Source organism: Homo sapiens, chromosome 5 (assembly GCF_000001405.40).
Source record: "Homo sapiens chromosome 5, GRCh38.p14 Primary Assembly".
NCBI lineage: Eukaryota > Metazoa > Chordata > Mammalia > Primates > Hominidae > Homo > Homo sapiens.
Genome location: NC_000005.10, coordinates 155,462,496 through 155,479,473, shown reverse-complemented (window position 1 = coordinate 155,479,473; position 16,978 = coordinate 155,462,496). Strand labels below are relative to the sequence as shown.

The window sequence follows — 16,978 nt, the reverse complement described above, 5'->3', positions numbered from 1 at the left end:
AAACAAACCATACTCAAACTATAGCACAGAGAGATGTACACATCAACAAAGGCAATCCCCTTGGATAAGCACAGTCACAAGGCCGTTCCAGAGAAAGGAGTATGTAATCTTCTACAGGATGGGAGGAAGAGAGAAATCGAGGGAGTTTTATCTCATCTGAATTTCAGGCAGAGAAAACACAACATGCAAAGAAATGAAACGTTAAATGACATGTCATATTTGAGAGACTATAGTAGAAGGAGAGAAGTGGTGAGTGAAAGGAGAAAACGAGAGAGAAATATATGCTGGGAAAGATATTGAGAGATTCAAGTGCCATGCTAAAGAATGTAGGTGTTATCTTGAAAGGTACAAGGGAGGAGTCAAATAGTTGATTCAAAAAATCTATTTAGTAAGCACCTTCTGTGTGCTAGACATTGGCACTTAGAATGTATCTGGTAGCAGACAAGATTTCCTGACCTCCTGGGACTTATATTCTAATGACAGAAAGGAATAATATTGAGCATGTAAATAAATTTTAAAACTTTTTTCCAAATAGTATTAGGTGCTATCAAATATGCTGCAAAGAAAGTATAATAGGGTAAAGAAACAGTGATGTGGACAAGGATGCTACCTTGAGCCAAGGTAGTCTAGGAGTGCTTCTCTCAGGAGGTGACATCTGAGCTGAGGTGTGAATAACAAGAAAACCAAACCAGGCAAAGATTTGGAGACACGGCAGTTCAAAGTATAGAAAAAGAAAAGTAAACTACTCACTCTTTTAAGAAAGTGAGAAGGAGGCAGTGAGTTTGCAGCTTGTGAGGAAAGGATGGTAGGAGTTACAACTAGAGAAGAAAGAAGTCAGGAGCCAGATATTGTAGGCCAGAGGTTCTCCCTGAGAGCCGTCAGGGTAGCCATACCTATGGGCATTTCTGGGACTCTTTCAGAGTGGGTTTTTTTTTGTTTGTCAGTGACAACAACAGAAACTCCTTCCTGGCATTCAGAAAACACAAAACAGGACTACAAGGGTTCCTGTAGCACACAGGAAAGTCTACACATCAGAGTTGTGATTCGTCTTATATGACTTTCTAATGTCCCACTAAACACTTATTTAGATAAAACGCCAGCTAATAGTTATCCGATCCTAAAATCTAACTTCATTTTAAATCAGAGCATTTTTTAAACTAAAGATATATTAGTCCCCAACTCTTCCAAAAACACAAATACCTTATAAACTGAGGGAAGAGTAAACATAGTTTTGTTCTGAACATTACCAAAAACATTTTGGGATATAATGTCACCATAGCAATGCTGCTTGAGGTGTCTGAGTTACTAATCAAAACACAAACACACCTGTATCAATCTGCATTTGTTGCTCACATGTTCCTCATGACTTTACCTATAGATGCAAGTATTTATCTACTCACGACTTCTAGTGTAATTATGCCTATATATGTACATGCTGAATATATATTGCATTATTATAAATCACTTTCCTTCTATTCTGCATTATACAAAACTAGGACATTATTTCTATATTTGAATTCGTGATCAGATAGGTTATATTATCTGTAAAGTTCATTATGAGAGTAAAGTGGGTAAATGAAAATATTTGTTCATAAAATGAAGCTATTGACTTTGATAGAGCTGAGGATCACTATAGGACATGGTGAGGAAAGTGGATTTTATTCTAAGACCAATGAGAAATTTAGAGAATATTTTAAAAGAAGTGTTGTGATCTGATTTGCAACTTTAGAAGCTCACATCTGCATTTGTAGAAACCTGATTGTGAATGGCAAGATGGAAATCAGAGAGACCAGAGAAAAGCTTGATGCAGAAGTCAAGGTAGGCAAGGACAGGGGCCTGGACTAATGAGCTAAGAATCGTTTGTGAAAGTTTATGTTTTTGTCTGCTTAGAACACTTGAAGTATTTAAAGATGTTTATCATATCATTTCTTATTATTTTCTACTTTCTGCTAAATATGCCTAGATCCTTCAATTATATTCTATATGACATGGTTTCTATGCTTGATCTTAGCCAAAAGGCTGAGAAGTAATCGACATGGTTTCTAGACTTCTTTCCACCTTTGCTGACATCTTCTGAAAATATTCTAGGTTGTCCATGTCTCTCTTGGACTTCCCAGAATTGAGGGCAATTCTGCAAATGGAGTTTGACTCATTCACTGGACAGTTAAACAACTAGCACCTGTGACTGCTCTACGTTGCTGCCTATTGAAGAATGAATTCGTGTTTTTTTTTGTAGCTGCATTGTGTCATTTATTTATATTCCACTTTTTGTGAACTATGACTTCTTCTCTTTGAGCCTATATGCTGGCCTTTATATTTCTAACACCGTTACCCAGATTAGCTTTCATTTCTCCCTCTCCTTTACCACTGGAATTCAATACATCATGAGGTGGAATTAGAAAGAGATGTGCTCTACACATTACAAAAGCCTTAAAAAAAATAAGCCAACATGTGACAAATTTCAGCAGAATAGTCCAAACAGCAGGTGTCATGGTGCTTGCCATTTTTTCATAAGCTCCAACCTGTATAGGTGGAACCTTTCCTCAAAACCATTTTATCTTAGACATCTATGTTTGTTCTGTCACCAACCATATCTACCTAGCAATAAAAATATCTCTCTCCAATCCAACAAGTTGTACCTCTGCAGGAGAGGATGTTTTATTAAATAATGAGTTCCTATCATTGAAAGCATTTAAGCAAACTTTAGATATACTAGATGCTTTGGATCTACTAGATGGAATTTAAGGTTCCTTATAATTCTAAATTCTACTGATACCATGATTTTTATCACCTTTTACCAACTGTGCCTGCAGTTACACTAGTTCTCCTACTCACACTTTCTTGGGGGAATGGCTTCGTGAAATTGACTGTTACAGCTATCTACTGCTATATAATGAACCACCCCAAAACTTACTGACATAAAACAATAATTTTATTACACTTATGGATTCTACAGGTTAGGAATTTGGACAGAGAACAATAGTTTGTCTCTGCTTCCCAATTTCTGGGACCTCTATTTGGAAGACATGCATGGCTAAGTATGACTAAGATATCTGGAGATAGCTCCAACCACTGGAGCCTAGAATTATCCAGAAGTGCCTTCATTCACATATCTGACACCTAGGCTGGCATAACTCAGGAGCTAGTCTCAACTGAAACTAACTGGGACATCATGAGGCTTCTCCATGTGGCTTGGGCTTCCTCACAATATGGTGAGTGTAAGAGCAGTCAAACTTCTTACATGGCAGCATAGGGCTCCAAGAACAAGTGTTCAAAGAGCAAGGCGGAAACGGTATGCTTTTTATGACTCTCATAAATCATCTATCACCATGTATTATTGGTTGAATCTGTCCAGCTGCCCAGATTTAAGGGGAGAGAGTTATAGACCCCACCTCTCAATGGGAGAAATGAAGCCGCATTTTTTAAGTTGCCACATTCCCTATTGGGTTTACTTTAAAATTTCAGATCATAACAACCAAGGTTTGTTTTTTTCCTCCTAAATTTCCTGACTCTGGTTGAAGTAAAGTATGCACCTTCATCGTGTATGAACAGGCACTGGGGCTTCTAAGCACAACAGGGAAGAAAGATGCAACCAATGCTTCCACTAGACATGACAAGATTTTTCTGGAGCCTAACAGCACATATGCCTTTGTAGTGGAACAAAGACTGACATTCTGAATACCTGCTGCTTCCTTTATAGACCCTCAGAGCTCCAAGATTAAACTCTGCAGCATCCCAAACCCTGGGAGGAAAAAAGCCTGGCTCAGACTCAATTTATTGTACACTGACCTTTAGTCCACTGAAATTTGTATGTATTCTACAAGTCTCTCAATGCTCTGTTTGGCCTAATTGGTTACCTAGACATGTCCTTATCCTCACCTGGGGACTGTAAACCTTCTTAGGCCTGGGAGAGAAAGTGTGGAGAAAGAGATGACTAGGCTTCCCACAGAGACCCATCAAGTTTCACTTCGGAGTAACAAAGAAAAAGGAGGAAAGCTACCTCAGCAAGGGAATTGACATGCTAGAGGAAGCATCCCCTCCTGGCTGAGTGTAGTGCAGTTCTCTGCACTGACCTCCAACTAATTATTCCTCACTGCACATCAGCAAAGGCGAATCTGATTAAAAACATAAATCAGCACTGTTTCTGTGGGAAGGGTGTGGAGTTGGTGTGTTCATTAAGATGTACAACATTATCAAAAATGGGGGCTTTGGTCATGCCACGGCCATTCCCTAGTTTAACTCAAGATGCCAGAATTCTAGGTTCAGAAATAGTGACCTTTCAGTTTAAATTCCAAACCATTGCAATTGAAGGCAGAATGCAAGTCAACATTCCCATCTTTCACAGCAGGCCAGGCAGTCCTGGCTAGGAGGAAGAAATGAGAATGATATATGGTCACTGATGAGTCTTCATAATGGTAGTTAATGAAAGCTAACTAACTAAGCACTTGCCATGTAAGTGCCAAACTCTTTACATGCATCATCTCATTTTATCCTTGTAACAGTTCCGTTTTACACAAGTGGAGACTGAGACCCAGAGAAGTAAAGTAAGTAACTGCCCCAAATTACAGTGTTTAGAAGTGATGGAACCAGGATTGAGCCAATCTTGGTCTAGATCTACTACTTTAACCACAAGCAATACTGCCTCTGCTTATGAGCATGTGTGAGACACTTTCTAAATACTACCTAGATGGTCAGAAAGAGCTAAGGAAGGTGATGCCTGACCTGAGTCCTTAGGGTAAGGAGAAACCAACCAGTCTGAGAAAGAGAAAAAAGGTGTTTAGAGAGCATTGCAAGGAAAGGGGAATGGAACAGACAGAGCATAGAAGACTTTTTGGGCAGTTAAATTACTCTCTATGATATTACAATGATGGACACATCCCACTATACGTTTATCAAAACCCATAAAATGTACAACACCAAGAGTGAACTTTAAGATAAACTATGGACTTTGGGAGATTATGAGTCAGTGTGGTCTCATCAGTTGTAACAAATCTACCACTCTTTTGGGGGATAATAATAGTAATAATAATTATGAGGGAGGCTATAGATGTGTGGGGGTAGGGAGTCGATGGGAACTCTCTGTACCTTCTGGTCAATTTCACTATAAAAACTACTCTAAAAAAGGGGGGTTGAAAAGTTACGTGTTGGGTACAAGTTTCACTATTCAAGAGATGAGTATGCTGAAAGCCCAGACTTTAGCACTACGCAATATACGCATGTAAGAAACCTGCCCTTGTACCCCCTAAATCTATTAAAAATAAAAAATAAAAAATGAAGTCTGTATTTTAAAAAAGTTAACTGTCTGTAAGAGCCTGAAGGCTTCTGAGAGCCAGGATGAAAGCTCCTTGAAGTCAGGAATCATGTTGTCTTGCTCACTGTGGAAGCCTTTGGCACCCGGCACATAATAGACACATGAAGAGTCAAGAGGACAATAGTTGCAAGCATGGGCTCTGAAGCCAGACTACCAGTGTTGAGCCTGTAACCTTTAATGCACAGCTTCACATTTATGAGCTTTGGTTTCCCCATCTGTAAAAAATAGGGGGTGATAAGAGAATCTGCCTCCTGGAGTTTAGGGTAGGATCAAATGAGATCATGTGGGTCAAGTGCATACCTGGTCTAGTGTCAGCCATAGGATCAGAGCTCAAAACAATGGTAAAGATGGTTGTTTATTTTTAGACCTCAGTAAGTCTTTGTCAGGGAAATGAATAAATGCTGTTGGTATGATTTATTAGAAGGCAGCAAGGATTTCAATACAACTACAAAGAGTGAGAGACAAGTAGGGCAAGATAAAGCTGATGCCAAATTGGACATCCTTACTTTGCCTCCTACCTTTTCCTTATATTTCATGATCCTAATGGTGATGGTGATGAGGAGAAGAAAGATATTGCTTTCTATTTACACTAAGATTTGCACTTCATAGCATATTTCCATGGTAATTATTTAATTCACCCTTCCAAGCAAATATATTCACAGAATAATGTTTTGGTCAACAATTAACCACATACAGGATGGTGGTCTTTTAAGCTTATAATGCCATAATTTTACAGTACCTTTTTTATGTTTAGATACACAAATACTTGCCATTGTGTTATAATTGCCTGCAGTGTTCAGTACTGTAACATGCTGTACAGGTTTGCAGCCTAGGGGCAATAGGCCATACTATATAGCCTAAGTGTACAACAGGCTATCCCATCTAAGTGTTTGTAAGTACATTTTATCATGTTCGCACAACAATGAAATCATCAAGTAACATATGACAGTATATGACAAATATACAATATGTGTGTCTTGTCCCCATTTTGTGTAAACCTATTGAAACCCAGAGAGGAAAAGTGCCTGTAAAAAGTCGACAGATTGATAAGTAACAGAAAAACACAGCCCAGTTATTCTGACCCTGGCCTCTTTATCACTCTACATGGATAATAGAGTTAGCATAGAAACTCTCAGGGAATTTCTTCGACACCAGAGAATCAGTTTGACAGATTTGCTGACTATTCACAAAACCTGCTTCTTTTTTTTTCCTGGAACATACCTTTACTAAATTTTCTTTACTACATTCACTATATTTTTATGGTATCTTAAAATGGTTGTTTTTGTCAGAATAGCCTAGAATTTCTGTAAATATTTTGGTTTATTATAATAAGCATGTTCCTCTCTAGAAAAAAATTATTCAAAATAATTCTTTAAGGTAAAAATCTTTAACTTTAAAACAGTTCTGATCTTTTAAAAGAAAAAAGTTTATTAAGATCCCTTTAGCTTGATAAACAGGAATTATCTCTTCTGGTTGCACTCTAGTGAACATGAGTGCACTTCATATGCTCATTGACTGTGTTACTACATGTCCGTTGCAGGTAGGTGTGATCATGTGACTGAGCTCTGATCAAAGGATCGTGGGAACATCCAGGCTCGACCCATGAGATCTTCCCCTTTTTCTCCTTGAACAGCAACATTACAAGTTGAATACTGCAGACTTGCAAAATGGAAGAAACCTGAATTCCTAAATCACAGCTTTGGACAGAATTGCCAAATGATCTGGAACCCCATTTGGAAATCAAAATGAGAAATATATTTCTATTATACTAAGCTGCTGAGGTTTATCTGTTTCAGCAGGTAGCCTTCATTACCTTAACTAAATAAAAGCAGGGAAAGGAATATCAATATTACAAACGCAGACATTCAAATAAGAGCAATCTTCAGAATGTCCAGGCCCTATACTCCAATGAACCTTAGGTTATTTTCTAGAATTGCAGTTGGTGGCAATCCTGACAATGGGTAGTAATAGATGAGAATTGTAAGATGGTAAATTCTTTTAGGGCAGGGGTCCTATCTATCTTTGTGTCCTCAGCACATCACATAATACCAGACACAAGGTTGATGTTTAATAAAAGGTGATATGTACACGGTTAATAACCATCCTAACATCCATTTCCTAAGGATATGACAGTTGAATGGATCTTGAATGTTTAGGTTCTTCAAATGGAAAAGAGCAATTTCCTGCAGGAAACCTCTTACAGAACAGATCTTCCATGACTTGGTGATAGTTAAGATGGTAAGGGACTTGATTCATTCATTTCTTCAAAGCTATTTATTGAGTACCCATTATATGCCTGGCATTATTATAACAGTACAACAAATGCAAAAAGCAGCACAGAGGATAAGAGGTCAGCAAAAAATAAGACAAATAAAGCTTTTGTTTTCTTGGCTCTTACACTCTAGTGAATTTCTACATACACGGTGAAACCCTTACGAACAAAAACCTAGGTTCAAATCAGCTAGGTACTCAGTAGTCTGAGTGCATATCATAACAATGAGTGTGTTCCAGGCTAGCAAAGTTTTGATGAGAGACACATTATAATAATAGTCCATTCTCCCAAAGCATGAGAACACCCTATCCAAACATATGAATAAAGAAAATCATCAACTGAAATCTGGACAACAGTTAACCAGATCCACACTGAAGAAGTTAAATTATGCAGGGAAGAAAAATCACAATAACAAATGACTGGTAAAGATAACCCTCTGTGGCTGGTTATATGGTAGGTGATGATGATAGCATCAATCCATTCTGTTTCTAAGCTCCTGTTTTAAAAGAGTTAATCATATAATTTGGCTACAGAAACACTAGCAATGGCAGATGTGCTGTCCAACTGACCAGGTTAAGAAAAATAAAGGCAGATGGTTTTAGATTAAAGTCTGGATGGCAACGTTGTCATTAGAGAATTGACGTTCTGTCACTAGGCCAAGGTTCTTCTATTTACTTTACTCTCTAAATGATCTGCCACCTGGTGGTCCAGGGACTAATTTAGCAGTTTAGTCATGGGCAGCTGATAAAAACTAATTAATTAATTTGGATTCAGTGATTCATTCAACAAATATTTATTGCATGCCTACTATGTGTGCAACATCATCGCAAGTGCTAGGGAATACAGCAACCATCAAAATAGTAAGCAAATAAGGTGGCTTTAGATTCTGTTAAGTGCTCACAAAAGAACAAATCAAGATCATAGGGGCAGGGGACACAAAACATTAGAGGGCTCAGGGAAAGCCTATCTGAGGAAATGGTAAGAGCTGAGACGTGAAAGAGGAGATATTAGTTTTCTATTATTGTGTAACAAATTGCCACAAACTCAGCACCTTTACACAGCTTACTGTCTTACTTACTGAAGTTTCTGTGAGTCAGGAGGCTGGGCTGGTTTGTCAGTCCTCCACTCTGGGTTTTGCAGGCCGAAGTCAAAGTGTTCGCAGGAGCTGTGATCTCATTTGAGGTTCAGAGTAGTCCTCTCCCAAGTTCCTTGGTTGTTGGCAGGATTCTTTTCCTCGTGTCTGTTTAACAGCGGTGCCCGTTGTCTTGCTAGCTGCTGGCTGGGGACCACCCTCAGCTCCTAGACATCGACACCATCCTCAGGCATGTACCACATGGACCCTCCTCTCACAATATGGCTGTTTGCTTTCCATTAGGCCAGCAGGGGAGTGTCTTTCTGATACTTCACCTTCTTTTAAAGGGATCACTCAATTAGATCAGACCCATGTGGGAGTCTGTCTTTTGATTAACTCCATCAGCTGATCAGTAACAACATCACTGGAGTGATGTAGCATCATATTCACTGGCCCCCAAGCCCCAGCAGTCAGTGTGAGTGGTATATGGTAAATGCACCTGATAGTAATAACTTAAGCATACCTTGAGAATGAACCTGTATGGCACGTGGACCTGAGTGGGGTTAGGGATTCTGAGCTAGAGAATCTGGGAGTGGCCAACCCAGGGATCCATTCCTTATCTGTGAGAAACACCTGTGCCCCCGTCCCATCAGTGTTAGGCAGGCCATACAGGATATTCAGGCCCTTTGTTTTGGGTTAAATGAAGGCTGCCAGGTGGAAGTTGTTAGCGGGAGGGTGCAAAGTGAAAATGCTATACAAACTGCATGTTTTTTGTAAGTGGTTGCAGTTTTCCTGCCCAGCCACCACCACTGGACTCTCTACCCTGTATGGAAGCCCCCAGTAAGACCCCATGTCTCATTTGCTGGCTTCAGGTCTTTTCTTTGGCTTCTCAAACTTGGTGCCATCCCTACTGAGATTCAAAGGGGTCCAGCACAACAGTGGATTATATAGGGTGTGGGAAACTCTCAAGTGTGGGAAGCTTGGGGGCCTTCTTAGAATTCTGCCTACAGCCATTCCAAATCAGGGAAAAGGCTTTAAAGCACGGTCCCCAGAAAGCACAAAGAGCCTACACATTTCAACAAACTTGTATTTTCAGGAAAGGGAAAAATGGGTGTACTGAAACATGTGGATGAGGCACAGGGAGGGAGCGCAGGAGGTAGGAGGCATCAGCAGGTGTGAGCCCACTTGGTAGCCATGATCATGAGTTTGGATTTCATTGTAGGTGTGAAGCGAAGCCCCTAACATTGAGTCCCCTGGTATGATCTTAGGCTTGTCCATGACAGATCAATGGATCCCAAGTCAAGAGAAACGAGAGACAACTGGCTGGGGCTTCTTCTCATTTTGCAAAATGAGGCCCGTGCTAAAGGCTCTTTACAGGTCTGACATTCCATTTTTTTCTAGGTTCTATTTAAAAGACTATTTAGGTGAAAGCAGAAATAATATGAATATAATCACTTTCTAGCCTTGGCTGACCTAATTAGAAAGAAATCTGGTCTTCTGCTTCTTCCATACATCTTCCAACACTCATGAACACACCCTTGAGTCACTTCATAAATAACAACAATAATATTAATAATATAGAGGCATTTCCAGGAGCAAAATGCAATTTGTCCTTTGGTCAGGGGAGAATTCATAATTACTGTTTTTAAAAATTTCTGTCAATGCAGATTTTCAAAATAATACTGAGACAAGAGTTTATTGTTAAGAAATGCTAGCTGATCACAGTCATTTTTTCTTCTTCCTAATCTGAGGCTAAAAGGGAAAACCAAGTCTGAATTAAGCAACCTATAGAAATGTCACTACATCCTAATCTACCCAGAAGTCAGAGGCATAAACTGCTTTCTCAATATCTTCTAATTGAAGTACTAGCAGGATTTACTTGGGGCTTTCCTTTGAGGCTCTGATTAGCAAAGGGAAAAACAAATTTAAGAAATGCTAGAACTAAAATTCTAAAAGTTGAGGTCCCAGTGAGAGCTGTTTGATGACTCCTAGATTTTGTAAAGTGCCTACCATTAATGTAACTTTCCAAGTCTCATCTGGACTAAAATTTGGATTATCAATAAAATAAGGCAATATAAAATCCTCCTTTTTTCAATGGCCCTTTCTGGCTTCCATGGCTGAGGTCTCACATTGTAAAGATCATATTACACTATTTTCCTCTCAGGAAAGAAGAGAAATTTATTCTGTGAAGCAACCTAAAAATAACTCATTCGAGAGCCAGTGGCTTCCATGGTTACCAAAGACCCTGTTGATTCTTTACTCTAATAGGCAACCACAGTTGGGGAATCATTTGAATAGAAACAACATACACTCAAAATAGCATGAAGGTCCCTAGAACAGGGCAGTGCATCCCTCCATTCCACTAAGTGCAATCTTCTTCACAGCCCTATGAAAAGCCCATGCCTGGAAGAAAGGAATATACTTTCAAAAACTAAATGAAATTTTGCCCTGAATCAATTTCCTGTTATGGGAATCCCCACCATGCTGTGTATGCACTGACAAACCCCACAGTACTTCATAATGTAAATTTTTAAAATACTGTGCTCATAAATAACAACTGATTATATAATTTCAATTAAAGGCATCAAAGGGGTATTAGGTAAGGTATTGCTTTCTTCAGGTAAAATTACATCACATAGCATTACATGAAAGTTACACATGTACCTGATGTGGTTGAAAATAAGATAATGTATGTGTGTGCATATATATATATATGTTCAAAAAACATATACTTATATATTTATGTATTCCTTTATGTATATGAAGTCTCCTATGAGTCTAAAACCCCATTCCAGTTTGTTTTCAGAAGGAGGGATCTAAGAATCTACTTTTGAAAAAACAATTTCATATTTTCATCACAGATTTTCAGGTCTAGCATACCCAAAACATGTTTGTTGAAATATAAGAAAAATATACAATAAAATACACTAAAATTGTCTGCACATTAACTATGCTATAATAAATGCTCAAAGAAAGCCAAAGATATGTTTAATATATTTATGTACCAGCAACCAAGATTAGAAGCATAAACAGATCTGACATAAATTGGTTTAAAAATTGATTTTTAAAATATAAGTATAAATTAGCTTAAACTTTTTTGCACCCATGGTGGGCTCACAGTTCTTTTTAACATCCAGCAACATCCAGCAAGTGGCTGCCATGTGCTGAGCACTTTCTAAGCATGAGGTTATAGCTGTGAACAAGATGGACAAGTTACCTGTCCTCACGAAGCTTATATTCTAATGGGGGAGATAGACAAACCAAGAAAATTCCAAATGATAATGAATTCCATTGAGAAAAATAAAGTGATTTGATATTAGAGAAAAGCTACTTTAGGTAGTATGGTCAGAAAAGCTTCTGTAAGATTTTGAGCTCTGATTTAAAGTAAGTAGAAACAGCCAGCAGTGAAAAGATCTAGATGAAGTGCACATGGGAAGAGAGAACAACACACTGTCTTTTAACAGTGTTTCTCAAGCTTGAATGTGCAGGAACTCCCAGTTTGGGCTATGATGGAATACAGAGACTAGATTTACCCTCCTGACTTAGACAACTTAAAAATTGATAAAATATATGAAACAACAGTATTCAAAAGTTTGGACAACAGGCAGTAAACGGCAGTGATCCCCGAAGGAAGAAAAACAAATTAGGGTGGTCCTGTGATTACTCTGGCTAACTACAAAGAGCAGGAGGTAAGAAAGGACTTGGCTTGCTAGAAAAACGAAGCAAGCCAGGATGCTTGGAGCAGAGGAAACAAGCAATACGAGATGAGCTGGAAAGGAAGCCAGAAGGGCTGTGATAAGAAGCTTAGATTTCACTCTAAGTGCTTTGGGAAGCCATTAGAAAAATTTAAGAAGGGTAGTAATAGGATCAGAAAATAGCTTTTAAAAAATGACTCTGGCTGATTGTATGGACAAAGGACTGAAATATGCAAAGAGCATGAACAAGGTGATTACTTCGGGGGCCATGCAATAGTCCAAGTGGGAGACGATGTTGGCTTGGCAAGAGTGGTGGCAGAAAGGTGGAGAAACACAAGTGGTGTTTCTTAGACATTAATATAGGGCAGACCCAAAAATGCTAAGGAAACCCAAAGTCTTCATTTTCCAGAGTTGTGGGTATGGGAGAGTTAGGTGTCTCTCATTTACGAGTGGGCTGTGTTCCCAAAGCTTGTTTCAAATTCAGGCTACCTGTTTCCAAAGATATGCATGAGTATCTTCTGGGATTTCTATGAATAATGAATTGGTCTAATATTCAAATTGGTGATGGGCAGAAAATTTCCAGAGTTCCACCCTTTTCCTATTATCTGACCTAATTTCAAAGCAGAATGGCTTCAAATGGTCAACATTTGCCTAATGGCTTTTTTTATGTTTTTGTTTTTTCTGTTGCCTCAACTAATTGCTTTAGAATATCACTTTTATTATCTCCCAGATCTTTTCAATAGAAAACAATGTCAGTGATATATATTATTAAGGTATTTGGGTTCTCCAGAGACGGATACTGAACTTATCAGTGATCTCATAAATCTTGGTTTACCAAGAGTACATCAACTCTAGCGTAGAAGGCATCAGAAACCTCTTTTCAGAAAAAGGGTGGCATCTGAGAAGAAATTACGAAAAAAAAATTGTATTGGGTCTCATAAAATCTTAGGGGATGACTCCATCTCTGAGCAAGTTTGGATAGAACTTGGTGGACACAATGAGGCTAATGAAGTCTTCTAAGATTGTTTCTCAAGCTTGAATGTGCAGGAACTCCATATAGAGACTAGATTTACCCTCCTGCCTTAGACAACTATAAAACTTGATAAAATATATGAAACAATGGTATTCAAACGTTTGGACAACAGGCAGTACAGGACAGTGATCCCTGAAGGAAGAAAAACAAATTAAGTGGGTCCTATGATTACTACTCTGGCTGACTACCTCGAAAAGTTTCAAGGTCACAGTGCAGGATACGGGAACCCAAACAGAGCCCAGTGTACTACCTCAGTTGAAGAAACAGTGATGAAAATTTGGGAGGTCAAGGTGGCTCGAATTTGCAGAGCAGAGCTGGATAAGAGATGGTTGCACAGAGAGAGAGCCCCAGAAATCTGCAAAAGGTTCAGCTGAGTACAGGTGAATGCATCACGGATGTAAGAAAACTACATAATTCCTGGATAAAGGAAATGAAATAATCCCTGGAGCTCATACACGGTGGTCATAGTTTGTGTTCCCACCAGCCACAGCGGGAAGAACTTTGTAATACATGGACATCAGGTATTGTTCTGCCTCTAAGGATGTAGAACAAAATTAGCCCTAAACTAAAAAGTTACCTTTGTCCTACCTAGCAAAGCTTAAAAGCAATTCCTTGAAAGGATAAAATTATTTCTAAATAAATTGTGTCCCAGAATAAAGCATATGAAATTTAAAGGAATATAAAATGTTTACCAAACAAAATAAAGTCTACAATGTCTGGCATCCAATAAAAAATTCCAGGTAGACAAAAAAGTGAGAAAATAGCACCCATAATGAGGAGAGAAATCAATCAATGTAAATAGGCTCAGAAATGACACAGATGATAGAATTAGTAGAAAAGGACATTAAAACAGTTATTATAAATACATTCCATATGTTAAAGAAGGTAGAGGAAGGCAGGAGGACATTATAGATATGACTATATATAATATATATAAATATTATATATATTTTAAAGATCTAAGTTGAACTAAATAATAAAAATGCAATAATTGAGATGAAAAATACACCGGATAGGATTAACTGTGGGATTAGACACTGCTGAAGAAAATATTACTAAACTTGAAGACATCGAAATAAAACTTCAAAAGGAAACACAGAAGAAGAAACTGAAAAAAAATGAACACAGCATCGATGAATTGCAGACGAACTTTACACAGGATTGTATATGTAAGTTGAGGTACTTGAAGGAAAAGAGGAAGTATGGTATTGTAAAAATATTGAAGGAATAATGACTGAAATGTTTACAAATGTGTTGACCCAAGAAGTTCAATTAACCCCAAGCATAAGACATGAAGAAAAGGATACCAAGGTACATCATAATCAAATTGCTTAAAACCAGTGATAAAGAAAAAACTCTTAATCAGCCATGAAAAAGCTTTAATGTAAATACAAGTTCCTTAGGTATTTGTTACAATGCAAGTTCTGACTCAACAGGTCTGGGGTGGGACCTGAGATTCTGCATTTCTGAAGGTTCCTGGGTGAACCAAATGCTGCTAATATGAGAATCACACTGTTGAGAAGCAAATTCCTAAGATTCAAGTGGCCAAACTCTTTTGTTTTTCTAAGTTAATTCAAGATACTAAAAGATTCACAACTGAAAGAGAAAAGATGGATCTGTGGAAATATGTGATAAGGTGTTCGGGTTTCCAGCCAATTTCATTTCATGCATTAATAGAGAACATAGAGAATGACATCAAAACCTAGTCTTTAAAAAATCACCTTCCATATCTTTGGGAATAAGGCCAAGTATAGTTTATGTTTTTGCCTTCCTACAGCCATTCCTTATTTGATTATTTTACCCTGATTTTCTTTTGAAACTTTGTCCCCTTATCCACTCCCAAATTATTTACTTTGAGTGAGGATTCCCTCCAAATCCAAGAGTGGAACCCATAAGCCAGCCCTAGCCAATCAGCTCACTTCATTTCACTAGCCACAGTGATTGGATGAGGAAAGAACATGTGATTCTAGTTTGTCCAATTAGACTCATGTGGGAACTTCAAGAAAGAGATTGCTCTTCCACTTGAACCTAGTTGAAGTAGGCTGCATCTGCTGCAATCAACTTGCCTCTTTTAGAAGAGAAAGTGTGTGATAATGTACTCCAAACAGAAGAAGGAGAGTCAAGACAAGGAGAGAGAAAAACTAGGTGCTGGTGTGTCAATTAACTGTAGATCATGCCATTACTGAGGCTAGGTTTATCCTTGGACTCTTTGGATACGTAAGCCATTAAGTAGTCTTTTTTATTTAAGTTATAATTTGTTTGACTAATATTTTCTTTTTATTGCACAGAAACAACCCTAACAGAAACAAAAAAAGTGTGAGTTAAGTAAGCTTTTGTGACCTAGTTCAGGAATTTAATCCCAGTTTGTAATACAATTTCTGTTACCTTGGATTTCAAATCAGGTCTCAGAATTATTAGCGATATTTCTTCCCTACTTGCTGTTAAAGCATTTGTGGTTAGAGGGGAACATAGGTTCTGCCGGGCTGGGTCAGAATGATTTGTCAAAGAGTACCTGAAATTGTTAGTCTAGCCCAATATTCAGTAACTAATGTCCCAGAATGTTTCTAAAAGTCGACATCAAAAAAGATTTTGTGAATAAAGTAAAAGAAAAGCAGCAACATCATATTCATAAATATCTTGACTTGGAAGAGGAAATTCATTAACTAAGACAATGAGTAGCTGATTTATGCTTACCTTCTTTCTTAATTAAAAAAATTACACTGAAATGAATTTGGAGACTCAGATAATTCCGAGTAGACAGAAACCTTAAAATTAAACATGATACATTTTCATTAACAAGACCATAGGATACATACAATGGAAGAAGTGTTCTGGGAAATTATTTTTACTTTCTGGGTCTCAAATTCCATACATTAGAGGAATTGGGTCAGATAGTCTCTTACTTCTAAGTTTCTATGATTCCATTAAGAAATAATAGTTAATTAAGGTTTCAAAGGCCTATTGATTGATAATTCAAGCCCTTAGTTGGGTCTGAATTAAGGCCCAATATTAATCATAAATCAGCATAATAGTCTAGTATAAACTCAGGTGGGCAGAAAATACTTTAATCTGTTAACAATCACATTCTGTGCTAGGTTACTGACCATCTCTCCCCAAAGTCAAATGACACTGGGTTCACATATGACCTTCTTTTTATTCCAAACCAGATATATTAGAAACCTTCTACTGACATCTCGCTCAAGTCTAGAGTTCTCTTATCATAGAAGCACCTTCAGTTTCCTTAGAGAAAGATCCTCAAAGGGAGAAAAGTTAAAACAGATTTCCAAGGATGCTGGCCTATTGGTAACATCCCAAAACAAGGAAAGACAAGACTCCTAGTAAAGATAGCATCGGAAACCCTCCATCTGCTTTGTTTCTTACGGGCGTTACCATGAAGATATGAGGGGTTGGTCTTGAAGGAAATTAGTAAAAATAATATAAAATTGTGGCCAAAAAAAATCTTCATGGAAGTAATACTGAGTCAGGCTTGTATGTGAATATTGCTCAATTCTCTGGCATGATGAGCACCATGTTACTCAGTGACAGAATAGCTCAAGTCTTTTCTGGTCTCTACCTCAAGTATCCCTGGGATACT

The 16,978-nt window shown here is 38.0% G+C and overlaps 1 annotated feature.

Moving 5' to 3' along the window:
• Positions 3,644-4,255: an enhancer, noted in NCBI's record as "OCT4-NANOG hESC enhancer chr5:154854779-154855390 (GRCh37/hg19 assembly coordinates)". NCBI's record gives its function as "activates a minimal SCP1, AML or CMV promoter by ChIP-STARR-seq in naive H9 embryonic stem cells {active_cell/tissue: H9 hESC(naive)}" and the evidence as "EXISTENCE:reporter gene assay evidence [ECO:0000049][PMID:30033119]".